The following is a 13,433-nucleotide window of genomic DNA, read 5'->3' as shown; positions in this document are numbered from 1 at the left end:
TTTGAGAATCACAAAGAGAGCCTACTATCATCATCAACAAGACAGTCTGATTCAAAAATGGGCAAAGAACTTGATTTGGCCAGAGATATGTGTGTGTGTGTGGGTGAAATTCCTGAGATCCACCTCCTTCCAGGCTCCAGGGCCTCCAGCCATCTGCAAAGACCTTTCTGAGTGCAGGCTGAACGCCCTCCATCATTACCGCCTCATTTAAGCAACCCAGTTGGTGGGACCTTGTTGCAGCAACCTCAGCAAACGAATACAGGGTGTCATAGTCTGTTTGGGCTGCTATGACACAACTCCTTAGACTGCAGGGCTTAAGCAATAAACATTTATTTCTCACGGCTCTGGAGGCTGGAAGTCCAAGATCGAGGCACCAGCAGATTTGGCGTCTGGAGAGAGTGGAGCCCACTTCATAGATGATCATATTTTCTCTATAATTTCACATGGTGGAAGGGGTGAAGGGTATCTCTCGGACCCTCTTTTATTATTATTGTTATTATTTATTTTTATTTTTGTAGTGGCAGAGTCTCACTTTGTTGCCCAGGCTGGAGTGCAGTGGCCCAATCACAGCTCACTACAGCCTCAATCTCCCTGGCTCAAGGAATCTTCCCATCTCAACTTCCGGAGTAGCTGGGACTACAGACACACACCACCACATCTGGCTAATTTTTAAAATATTTTTTGTAGAGACGAGATCTCTCTTTGTAGCCCATGCTGGTCTTGAACTCCTGGGCTCAAGTGATCCTCCCACCTGGGCCTCCCAAAGTGCTGGGATTATAGGCTTGAGCCACTGTGTCTGACCCCAGGCTTCTTCTTTTATTGATTGATTGATTGATTGATTAAGACAGAGTCTTGCTTTGTCTCCCAGGCTGGAGTGCAGTGGCACGATCTCAGCTCACTGTAACCTCTGCCTCCCAGGTTCAAGTGATTCTCCTGCCTCAGCCTCCCGAGTAGCTGGGACTACAGGTGCCTGCCACCATGCCCAGCTAATTTTTGTATTTTTAGTAGAGATGGGGTTTCACCATGTTGGCCAGGCTGGTCTCGAACTCCTGACCTCAAATGATCCACCCACCTCAGCCTCCGAAAGTGTTGGGATTACAGGCATGAGCCACTGCGCCCGGCCTCCAGTCTTCTTTTATAAGGGCACCAATCCTTTTCATGCGGCTCCACCCTCGTGACCTAATCACCTCCCAAAGGCCCCACCTTCTAGTACGATCACCTGGAGGGTAGGGTTTCACCATATGAATTTGTGGAGACAAACATTCAAACCACAATACAGGGGCACCCCAAGACTTGGACAGAGGGTACACAGGCAGGGTCCCCGGCTACACCACCAGTGCCAGGCAGACAGGGTCCCTGGGTTACACTGCCAGTGCCAAGCAGGCAGGGTCCCTGGCTACACCACCGGTGCCAGGCAGGCAGGGTCCCAGGCTGTACCACCAGTGCCAGGCAGGCAGGGTCTCTGGGTTATACCACCAGTCCCAGGCCTCTGCTTTGTCGTCTGACTTCAGAGAGGGAAGCCTTCCATCCAGAGGAGGAATCAAACACAATCAGGACTTGTATGTATCTGAAGTGCTTCTTGGAATTCCAGCGTTTGCATTTCAATGGGTAGGAAGTTCCCTCCTGGGAGCCCCTGGGAGCCAGGCCTGGGTGGGGTCTGCATGACCCCCTTGAGCTCCATCTGCTGGCGATCCCAGGACTGCCCCAAAAGCCGGTGCCTGGGACCATGTTGGGCATGGGGCTTTATCCAAGAAGAGCTGGAGAGAGGGCTCGTGGGGTGAACAGGACCCCAGAAGCAGGGAAGAGGGGCTGGGCCAGTCCAGGCTGGGCCAGCACGTTGGCTGAGAGGGGAGGATATGACCCGTGCAGCGGCAAAGGTGAATGGTCTGCCTCACGCCAGTGCTAGCAGCCCGTGGGACCCTGGGCTGAGTCTCTGCCCCTACAAAACAGTAGACACTCACCTGTCCACGGCGGGACTTGGCCCAGGTGATGGCTGGGGACCCTTCTAGCTCTCAAGGCTGCTATGCCTCCTACTCAACAAAGTACAGTGAGACCAAAAGCAGCTCCTGCAGGATGAAGGAGACTAGGAAACAGCTGGGAGGAGGGCAAGGCCTGGATAGAGAACCTGCATGAACTGTAAGCAGATTAGGTCCAAGCAGGCCCAGGGCCTGGAGACTCTCGTGGGGTTGGCACCTTCTCTACCCACAGGCTGGGAGTCGGGAACAACATCTCTTTCAGAGGAGCCACCCGAGTGCTGGGGTCTGAGACCACCCAGGTGTTTTCTTACGGCAGCCCCCAGAGAGGCGATCAGAGCTCTGCGGGGTGCAGTCCGGTCACTGCAGCAGTGATGGTGCATGGCTCGTTCTTGCTGCTGGCTGACTCTGGAGGCAGAGCTGCATCCACCATGTTCCTTGGCATCACCTCACCATTATCCCTGGTTCAGGCAAGAAGAGGCTAATGAAGCCACGAGGAGGGGTGTGGTGGGCCCCCCACTGCTCCACAGAAAACAAAACAGAGGCACAACTGGGTGACTCTGCTCCAGTCCGAAATCAAGGCTGGTACCAGACCCAGTCCCACTGGCTACCCAAACTGGGAGCTGTGCTCGGCACTGCCCTGCCCAGGTGCGCAGCCCTCCTGCCGCCGGAGTTTCAGCCTGGCTCCATGTTTCTGTCAACAACAGATGCCGTCTGTCATGGCAACTGGCCTGGACTTTATCCTGGGACTTTCATTGTTCTGTCAATGCCACGCTTTTTGAAAATTCACTCAGTTCAAATGCTCTTCAAAGAAACCAACCACTTTCTGTTGCCATTTGAGAGGCTTCCCTAGTGCACAGAGGACAGGAAGCACAGGGAAAAACAAAACACCCAAAATAGGTGCGAACAGTAATGAGGAAAGAGAGAAACAATCAATTTCATACCACCCCTCCCAAAACCCCTCTTTAAAAACAGTCAGCAACATAGAAAGGCAGCAGTCTGTGCTGTATGGCAATCAAGCTTCCACGCGGCTGGCAGCAGAGCAGGCATGGGTTGTGCCGAATGCGCAACAACTCCTTCCTCCTTCCTGCCCCACCCCGGTCCCTGAGGGAGAGCCACCCGGTCTGAGGACACCTGGCCACCCCACCTGCAGGGAAGCACCTGTGAAGGGAAGGGCTCCTTGGCTCCTTGTCACTTGCTCACACCTGGACCAGAGCTTGGGCTCCTCATCCGTACAGTGGGACAACAGTGGAAGGTGGCTCCCCAGTGCAGCGAGGTCCAGATGGGACCACGGGGCCTCAGAGAAGGGGCTCCACAAATACTAGCTACCCACTGTGATTTTTAAAAATTAATCAGTCGGGCGCAGTGGCTCACACCTATAATCCCAACACTTTTGGAGGCCGAGGCAGGTGGATCACTTGAGGTCAGGAGTTTGAGATCAGCCTGGCCATCATGGTGAAACCCCATCTCTACTAAAAATACAAAAATTAGCTAGGCGTTGTGGCGCACACCTGTAATCCCAGCCACTGGGGAGGCTGAGGCAGGAGAATCACTTGAACCCAGGAGGTGGAGGTTGCAGTGAGCCGAGATTGCGCCATTGCACTCCAGCCTGGGGGACAGAGCAAGACTCTGTCTCAAAAAATAATAATAATAATAATTAATCATAAAATATCGTTTTATCTATGATATTATCAGTCTATCCATATCTTTATATAGAGAGACATTGGTGTCTAGATATTTATTACAGGGCCAACATCATGCTGAAGACTATTAAAATACAGAGGGAAGCCGGGCGCTGGTGGCTCACGCCTGTAATCCCAGCACTTCGGGAGGCCGAGGCAGGCAGATCACTTGAGCTCAGGAGTTTGAGACAGCCTAGGCAACATGGCGATACCCTGTCTCTATAAAAAATACAAAAAATTAGCCCAGCACTGTGGTGTGTGCCTGTAATCCCAGCTGCTTGGGAGGCTGAGGTCAGGGGACTGCTTAGCCCAGGAGGAGATAGGGGCTGCAGTGAACCAGGATCATGCTGAACTCCAGTCTGGGTGGCAAAGAGAGACCCTGTCTCAAAACAAAACAAAACAAAACAGAAGCGTATGAACACTTTCACGGTGGGAGACATTTCCATGGCAAATAGTTTTAGCACTGTGTGTTGACTTACCATTCCAGAGGATGAGGATTTAACTCTTCAACTCCTCGTCTCGACCACACACAATTCAAGTCCTAGTCTTACCTGCCTCCCTGTCTGCAATCTGGTCACTGCTGAAGTGACAGCGCAAACACCTCCTCCTTGCTCCTCGCTGACTTTGGAGTAAGAGCTGCACCCACCACGTTCCTTGGCACCACCTCACCATCATCCCTGGTCTAAGTGAGAAGAGGCTAATGGAGCCACAAGGAGGGGTGTGGTAGGCTCCCCACGGCTCCCCAGAAAAGTATCTCTAGTAGGATACGTCGATTAAATTAGTCACAAGGGTTTGTATATTTTTAAAATGAAACCTGTTATTTTGAGATACAGCATAAGAAACAATGCAAAGAGAGTCCAGGTGCCCTTCACCCAGTTTTCCCCAATGATGCCATCTTGAAACACTGTATTATAATATCATAATACTACAAGCTAGATGTTGTCGTTGATCAAGGTGAGGCACAGAACATTCCCATCACCCTTTGACAGCCATGCCCGGTTTCCACTCTCCTCCCCTCCTGAGTCTCTCAATCACCGCTTCCATGATTTTGGCATTTTTTGAATGTCACGTTGATGGAATCATGCAGTGTGGGAAGTTTTAGAATTGGCTTTTTTCACTTGGCATAATTCTCTGGAGATTAATCCAGGTTACTGTGTGTTGATAGCTTTCTCTTTTATTGCCAAGTAGTTCTGTACTAAAAATACAAAAATTAGCCAGGTGTGCTGGCATGCATCTGTAGTCCCAGCTACTTGGGAGGCTGAGGCAGGAGAATTGCTTGAACCCGGGAGGCAGAGGTTGCAGTGAGCCGAGATGGCGCCATTGTACTCCAGCCTGGGTGACAGAGCGAGACTCTGACTCAAAAAAAAAGGAAACTGCCAAACTGCTTTTTAGAGAAGCTGTACCATTTTACATTCCCACTAGCAGTATATGAGTGCTCTAGTTTCCCCAAATTCTTACCAGCATTTAACAGTATCACCTTTTTTGGCCATTTTTTTTTAATTAAAAAAATTATATATATATTTTAGACAGGGTCTCACTCTGTCACCCAGGCTAGAGTGCAGTGGTGAAATCGCAGCTCACCAAAGCTCCACTTCCTCGACTCAAGCGATCCTTCTGCCTCGGCCTCCCGAATTGTTGGGATTACAGGCATGAGCCACTGTGTCCAGGCTTTTTTTGCCACTCTAATAGATGTATAGTGATATCACTGTGGTTTTAATTTGCATTTCCTTAATGATTAATGATGTATTTTTCATGTGCTTATTTGTTACCTGTGTATCCTCTTTGGTGAAATGTCTATTCATGTCTCATGTCCATGTTCTAATTGGATTTTTATTATTGTTGAGTTTGAGAGGGTTTTTTTGTTGTTGTTTTTGTTGAGACGGAGTCTTGCTCTGACGCCCAGGCTGGAGTGCAGTGGCATGATCTCGACTCACTGCAACTTCCACCTCTTGGGTTCAAGTGATTCTTGTGCTTCAGCCACCTGAGTAGCTGGAACTACAGATGGGTGCCACCACGCCTGGCTAATTTTTTTTTTCTTTTGTATTTTTAGTAGGGATGGGTTTTGCCATGTTGGCCATGCTGGTCTCGAACTCCTGGCCTCAAGTAATCTGCCTGCCTTGGCCTCCCAAATTGGTGGGATTACAGGCATGCGCCACTGCGCCCAGCCTGAGTTCTTTATATATTCTAGTACTAGCCCTTTCTTGGATATATCTTTTGCAACTGTTTTCTCCTAGTCTGTAGCTTGATTTTTCATTCTTGTAACAGAACCACTTTTAACAGAGAAATTTTCACAGAGCAAAAGTTTTAATTTTAATGGAGTCCAGTTTATCAATTTTTCTTTTTATGGCTCCTGCTTTTCGAGTCAAGTCTAATAACTCATTCCCTAGCTCTAGATCCTAGAGATTATTCTCCTGTATTTTTTTCCCTGAAAGTTTTATAGTTTTACATTCTAAACTTCAGTTTATTATTCCTTTTTTTTTTTTGAGATGGCATCTCTTTTCTTTTCTTTTCTTTTCTCCTTCCTTCCTTCTTTCCTTCTTTTTCCTTCCTTCCTTCCTTCTTTCCTTCCTTCCTTCCTTCCTCTCTCTCTCTCTTTCTTTCTTTCTTTCTTGAGTCTTGCTCTGTCACCCAGCCTGGAGTGCGGTGGCACGACCTCGGCTCACTGCAACTTCTGCCTCCTGGGTTCCAGAGATTCTCCTGCCTCAGCCAGGCACCCACCACCACTCTCAGCTACTTTTTGTATTTTTAGTAGAGACGGGGTTTCGCCATGTTGCCCAGGCTGGTCTCGAACTCCTGACCTCAGGTGATTGGCCCACCTCGGCCTTCCAAAGTGCTGGGATTACAGGCATGAGCCACTGTGCCCGGCCTGTCATTCTATTTTGAGTCGATTTTTAAATAAGATGTGAGATTGAGGTTTCTGGTTTTGTTTTTGTTTGCCTATTGATATGGTTTGGCTCTGTGTCCCCACAAAATCTCATGTTGAAATGTAATCCCCAGTGTTTGAGGTGATGGTTGGATCATGGGGGTGGATTTCTCATGATTGGTTTACCACCATCCCCTTGGTGGTGTTCTTGTGATTGCGAGTGAGTTCCCATGAGATCTACTCATTTAGAAGTGTTGGCACCTCCCCTAGCTCTTGCTCCTGCTCTGCCACGTGAAATGCCTGACCCCCTTCACCGTCAGCCATGGTTGAAAGCTTCCTGAGGCCTCCCAAGAAGCTGAACAGATGCCACCACCATGCTTTCTGTGAAGCCTGCAGAACTGTGAGCCAATTAAACCTCATTCCTTTATATATTGCCCAGTCTCAGATATTCCTTTATAGCAATACAAGAATGGCCTAACACATCTATATATGTCCGGTTGCTTCAGCACCATTTGTTGTATCCTTTCTTCATTGAGTTGCTTTTGAACTTCTGTCAAAAATCACTAGGGACACGCCCGTTCTCCCAGCACTTTAGGAGGCTGAGGTGGGAGAATTGCTTGAGCCCAGAAGTTCAAGACCAGCCTGGGTGACATGGTGAAATCCCATCTCTACAAAAAAAAAAAAAAAAAAAAAAAATATATATATATATATATATATATATGAAAAATTAGCTGGGCGTGGTGGTGCACACCTGTAGCCCCAACTGTCTGGGAGGCTGAGGGAGAGGATCACTTGAGCCTGGAAGGTCGAGGCTACAGTGAGCTGTGATTGCACCACTGCACTCCAGCCTGGACAACAGAGTGAGACCCTGTTTCAAAAAAAAACCCCAAAAACCCCAAACCAAAAAAACCTATCATGTTGTAAACCTCAAATATACACAATAAAATTTATTTTTAAAACATCACTAGGGCATGTTTATATGGATCTATTTCTGAGTTCTCTACTGTTTCACTGATCTATGTGTCCACCCTTCTGCTAATCCCATATAGTTTTAAATACCATAATTATGGAATAGGCCTTGAGATCAGGCAGATTGTTTCTTCTCACTTGAGCAAGTTGAAGAATATAAGATTGACATACAAAAACCAACTGTGGCTCGATGCCTCATGCCTGTAATCCCAGACCTTTGGGAGGCTCAGGCAGGAGGGTCATTTGAGGCCGGGACATTGAGACCAGCTTGGTCAACATAACGAGATCTTTTCTCTACAAAAAATAAAAATAAAAAAATTTTAAAAATCAATTGTATTTCTTTAAAAATGTAGTATCATTGGGCTGGGTGCAGTGGCTCATGCCTGTAATCCCAGCACTTTGGGAGGCCAAGGTGGGCGGATCACGAGGTCAGGAGATCAAGACCATCCTGGCTAACATGGTGAAACACCGTCTCTACTAAAAATATTTAAAAAATTAGCCAGGCATGGTGGTGGGCACCTGTAGTCCCAGATACTTGGGAGGCTGAGGCAGGAGAATGGTATGAACCCAGGAGATGGAGCTTGCAGTGAGCCGACATCACACCACTGCACTCCAGCCTGGGTGACAGATAGAGACTCCATCTCAAAAAAAAAGAAAAAAAGAAAAAAAGAAAAAAGCAGTATCATTTATAATCTCTCAAAAAGTAAAGTGCTCAGGTGTTAAATCTAACAAAACATGGGTAGGATTTTTATGCTGAAAGCAACAAAATGTGGATGAAATAAACCAAAGAATATCTAAATAAAGAAAGAGATACACCATATTCATGGATTAGAAGACTCAGTATTGTAAAGATGTCAGTTATGCCCAAATACATTCCTATACATCAAAATATAAAAATATAAGCCAGGTTTTTTAGTGGATATTCAAATAGTCATAAGACTATTCTAAAATTTATATGGAAAGGCAAAGGAACTGAAATAGCTATCGTTGTTATTTTAACCTACTTGCTGCAGATTGGATACCCATTTCCCTTTTTGTTTATTTTAAATTATTTTATTGAGGTGAAATTTACATGCAGAGAAATACACACATCTTAAGTTCTCAATTCAATGAATTTTGACAAATATATAAACCCATGTAACCAAAACCCCAATCAAGATCCTATTTTCATTACCCTTGGAAAGTGTTCCGTGTCCCTTCCCAGTCAATTCCCACCCTCCCACCCCCACCCCAGTCCAGGCCACTACTGACCTGTGTTCTATAATCACAGATTAATTCTGCCTATTTTATAACTTTGAATATATAAAGAACTTCTGCAAATCAATAATAAAAAATATGAGTACCAGTTCAGTGTCAGATATGCCCCTTGCAAATATTTTCTTGAGACAATGGCTTTTGGTCGTTGTTTTTCTTTTCTTTTCTTTCTTTTTTTTTTTTTCTTTTTTGAGACAGGATCTTACTCGGTCACCCAGGCTGGAGTGCAGTGGCTCAATCATCACTCACTGTAGCCTCAAACTCCCAGGCTCAGGCAATCCTCCCACCTCAGCCTCCCCAGTAGCTAGGACCACAAGTGTCCACCACCATGCTCAGCTAATTTTTAAATTTTTTGTAGAGACAGGGTCTTGCTATGTTGCCCAGGCTGCTCTCAAACTCCTGGGCTCAAGCAATCTGCCCACCTTGGCTTCCCAAAATGCTGTGATTACAGGAGTGAGTCACCACACCAGAATTATTTTCATTTTAATGTTATCTTTTGAGAAACAGATGTTTATAATTTTGATAATCCAATGTATCAATTTAAAAATTTTATATTTCATGCTTTTTGTGTCCTTTCCAAGAAATCTTTGCCTACTGACTCCAAGCTTATACATATATTCTCCTCTGTTTCTTCTAGAAGCTTTGCAGTTTTATTGTTATGTTTAGGACTATAATTTTATCTTGAATTAGTTTTTGTTTTGTTTTGTTTTTTTGAGATAGGATCTCACTTTGTCACCCAGGCTGGAGTGCAGTGGTGCGATCTCTGCTCACTGCCACCTCTGCCTTCCAGGTTCAAGTGATTCTCATGCCTCAGCCTCCTGAGTAGCTGGGATCACAGGCATGTGCCACCACCCCCGGCTAATTTTTTGTATTTTAGTAGAGACGGGGTTTCACCCTGTTGGCCAGGCCGGTCTCGAACTCCTGGCCTCAAGTGATCCACCTGCCTTGGCCTTCCAAAGTGCTGGGATTACAGGCTTGAGCCACTGCGCCCCACCTTGAATTAGTTTTTGCGTACGGTGTTAGGTAGAAGTCAAAGTTCATCCTCCCAATTTATCCAATAGTTTGAGTGCTATTTGTTTAAAATATTTGACTTTCCCCATTGAATTGCCAATTTCATCTTTGATGAAAATCAATTGGCTACATGTTGTGGGTCTCTCTGTGCACTTTATTCTGTTATGAAATGCTGCATAACATTATCTATTGCTGCATAACAACTCAAAACTTAGTGACTTAAAATAGCAATTTAGTCTTACTATCTATCATGGTTTCTGGGGGTCAGGAATTCAGGATATCTTAGCTGGGTAGTTCATGCCATTCCAGGCAGACAGTGGCTGGAGCTGGAGCAACTGGCTGGACATGTTTCTTTCCATGAAGTCTTATATCATCTCTGCAGGTAGACTAGCCTGGCAACTATCTCTGCAGGTGGACTAGCTTGGCAACCACCTCTGTGCAGGTGGACTAGCCTGGCAACCACCTCTGTGCAGGTGGGCTAGCCTGGCAACCACCTCTGTGCAGGTGGGCTAGCCTGGCAACCACCTCTGTGCAGGTGGGCTAGCCTGGCAACCACCTCTGTGCAGGTGGGCTAGCCTGGCAACTACCTCTGTGCAGGTGGGCTAGCCTGGCAACGTTGAAAGCATGGTGGCCCCAAGTCTCTGTGCATAGTGCTCTGGCACCCAAGGCAGATGCTGCATTATCTCTTGCGCCCCAGCCTCAGGAGCTCTGTAGCATCAGTTCTGTGGCATTCTATGGTTTATAAGGGAATGAGATCACTGAGATTCACAGATAGTATCAGGGTTCTGGAAGAGCATGTGGGATAGAAGGAAGTGTTGTGGCCATCTTTGAAAAATACAATCTGCAGAATCTCATCCTTTTAAACAATTTTAGTGAATCTTTTATCTCTCTGTCACAGACTGGATAATGTATATTTGTCTGTCTCTGGACAGCAGAGTGGGCAGTGGGAGGACTCCCCAAAGGCACAGCAGAGGCCTGGGGCCAGGGCACTGACAGTGGAGAGGGGATGGGGGCCATCCCTGTGTACAGTCACACCTGGTCACAGCTGTGTGGCACCAGATGTGGTGCGGGAGGTGGGGGAGGCATCGGCGTGACCAGCTGGATGATGGGCAGGGCCATCGGTTGTCTCTGTGACAGCCTCTGAGACACGGGCGCAGGGGTCTGGTGGGGGCTGTGTAGGTGAGGCTAGAGCCCACTGGGGAAGTGTTCCTGGGGGGCTGGGGGCTGCGGGGGGTGTGGGGGAGGAGATTCCCGAACAGAGCAGGGAAGCCAGGCCGGTGGTGTGTGCTGCTGGGGAGCTGCTGAGGCTCCTTCCCGCCCTGCTGCCCTGTATCCTGACTGGGAAACAGAGCCCCGCACAAACAAGGCTGTTTGGGTTGGCTGGGGTTCGCTGGGAGGATTGCAGTGCTGAATGGAGCCATCTCAGGCTCCAGGAGAGGCGCTGAGTGAGAGAGCACATTCCGTGGTGACTGTAGGCCTGGCGCTGTCCCGCCCAGTTTGGGGAGCAGGCTCTGTGTTGTGCTTGGCCAGCTCACTCCAAAGGAGCAGTGCCTCGTGGGGGCAGCAGCGAGTCTCCAACGGCCGGGGCGTGTTTCCTGTGCAGACGACCCCTCCTCGCTGAAACTCATGATCCAAGGAGATACCTAAGAAAGCAACTCCTGGCCGGGCGCGGTGGCTCACGCCTGTAATCCCAGCACTTTGGGAGGCCGAGGCGGGTGGATCACGAGGTCAGGCGATGGAGACCATCCTGGCCAACACGGTGAAACCCCGTCTCTACTAAAAATACAAAAAATCAGCCGGGCGTGGTGGCGGGCAACTGTAGTCCCAGCTACTCGGGAGGCTGAGGCAGGAGAATCGCGTGAACCCGGGAGGCGGAGCTTGCAGTGAGCCGAGATGGAGCCACTGCACTACAGCCTGGGTGACAGAGCGAGACTCCGTCTCAAAAAAAAAAAAAAAAAAAAAAGAAAGCAACTCCTGACAGAGGGCAAGCGGCTGGGACCCTGGCCCAAGGTGGCTGCACTGCCCTCGGCAAACTACCCAGTGCCTTGGGTCCAATCGGGGGTGGGGAGACGCTCTGGGGACCTCCCTCGCCTCTCCTTGCCTGGCCACCTCCTGGCAATATTTCCCGCCTCTTCTGCACTGCTCGCTGACCTTTGCTGGTGTCAGGCCTTTGTTCAGGCTTGTCCCCACTTTTTAGCACGGTTTAAGCAAAGTTTAGAGGAAATTTTTCTAAATTTCGGTAAAAATTTGAAAAACATTAAAAAATTTCTCAAAGTTATTTTAGCAAATGTGCTTTTGTCTGGAGGCCGGCTCCTCCTGGCTGTGCTCTGAGCCTGCTGGCATCCCCGACAGGGCCTGCTGCCCCAGCACTGCTGCTTGACCAGTGGCTCTCCTGCACATTTCATTTTTCACTTACACATTAGGCTCTCCCTCAAGGGAATCAGCCCAAGAGCAGGGCCCTGCGGGCCTTGTCCACACTGCTTCCCCGAGGCGCATAGAAATGACTTCTCCCCACCCTGCGCAGTGACTCGTAATCCCAGATCGCTTGTGCTCAGGAGTTTGAGACCAGCCTGGGCAACACGGCGAAACCCCGTCTCTACCAAAACAAACAAACAAACAGCTAGGTGTGGTGGCGCATGCCTGTGGTTCCAGCTTCAGGAGGCTGAGGTGGGAGCATCACTTGAGCCTGGGAGGCAGAAGTTGCAGTGAGCTGAGATCGCGCCACGGCACTCCAGCCTGGGTGTCAGAGTGAGACCCCATCTTGAAAAAAAAAAAAAGAAAAGAAAGAAATGACTTCTCCCGTGCAAAACTGATCCAAGGGTCTCTCATGATTTTTGTTGTTCATTTGCTTTAGTGTAGGCAGTGTGAAGACCTCACCTGGGTGTGCCACCAATGGAGGCTGCAGGCCCCGGCTCCAGTGAAGGCTGGTGCTGCTGCTGCCCTGTCCAGGACGGCTCTGCATCTTCCTCCCAGAAGCCCAGACTCCCCTGTGGGCTGCCCACCTGGCTGCAGCTCCTGAATGTCTGGTAGGCATCACACCCTTCATGGATGCACCTGCAAAGAAACTGCACTGTGCTTGCCCGGGGGTCCCCCGTCTGACTGGTGACTGCACCATTTGCTCAAATAAAATCCTCAGGGTCACCTACTTGTCCTGCATTGGATCCATCAGCAAGTCCTGCCGATTCTATCCCTAGATGCATTCAAAATGTTCTCGCCTGGCTTCATCACCACCTGTGTCTGTGTCCTGAGGCACTGCAGACCGGTGGCTTAACCACAGGCATTTATTGTCTTGTCTCGGAGGCTGGGAGTCCAAGATCAAGGTGTGGGCAGGGCTGGTTCCGATTGAGGCCTCTCTCCTTGCCTTGCGGGTGGCACCTTCTCCCTGAGTCCTCCCGGAGTTGTCCCTCTGTACATGTCTGTGTCCCAATTTCTTCTTAGAAGGACACCAGTCATATGGGATCAGGACCTACCCCCTCATGAATTTATTTTAACTTAACTACCTCCTTAAGGACCCTACCTCCAAATACACATTCGGAGGTCCTGGGGGTGAGGGCTTTGGTGTGGAGTTTTGGAAGGGAGAACATAAATCAGTGCATAACAACACCCATGCCACCCTCATCCCTGCTGCCTCCGCTCAGGCCTTCCATCTGGGGCCACACTCGTCCTCACGTAGCAGTGCCG

At 48.7% G+C, this 13,433-nt stretch overlaps 2 annotated features.

Moving 5' to 3' along the window:
- Positions 659-1,395: an enhancer, noted in NCBI's record as "OCT4-NANOG-H3K27ac-H3K4me1 hESC enhancer chr22:19693326-19694062 (GRCh37/hg19 assembly coordinates)". NCBI's record gives its function as "activates a minimal SCP1, AML or CMV promoter by ChIP-STARR-seq in primed H9 embryonic stem cells {active_cell/tissue: H9 hESC(primed)}" and the evidence as "EXISTENCE:reporter gene assay evidence [ECO:0000049][PMID:30033119]".
- Positions 1,396-2,133: an enhancer, noted in NCBI's record as "OCT4-NANOG-H3K27ac-H3K4me1 hESC enhancer chr22:19692588-19693325 (GRCh37/hg19 assembly coordinates)". NCBI's record gives its function as "activates a minimal SCP1, AML or CMV promoter by ChIP-STARR-seq in naive and primed H9 embryonic stem cells {active_cell/tissue: H9 hESC(naive and primed)}" and the evidence as "EXISTENCE:reporter gene assay evidence [ECO:0000049][PMID:30033119]".

The sequence above is a fragment of the Homo sapiens genome, chromosome 22 (genome assembly GCF_000001405.40).
Source record: "Homo sapiens chromosome 22, GRCh38.p14 Primary Assembly".
In the NCBI taxonomy this organism is placed as follows: domain Eukaryota; kingdom Metazoa; phylum Chordata; class Mammalia; order Primates; family Hominidae; genus Homo; species Homo sapiens.
This window is presented reverse-complemented; position numbering and strand designations above follow the sequence as displayed.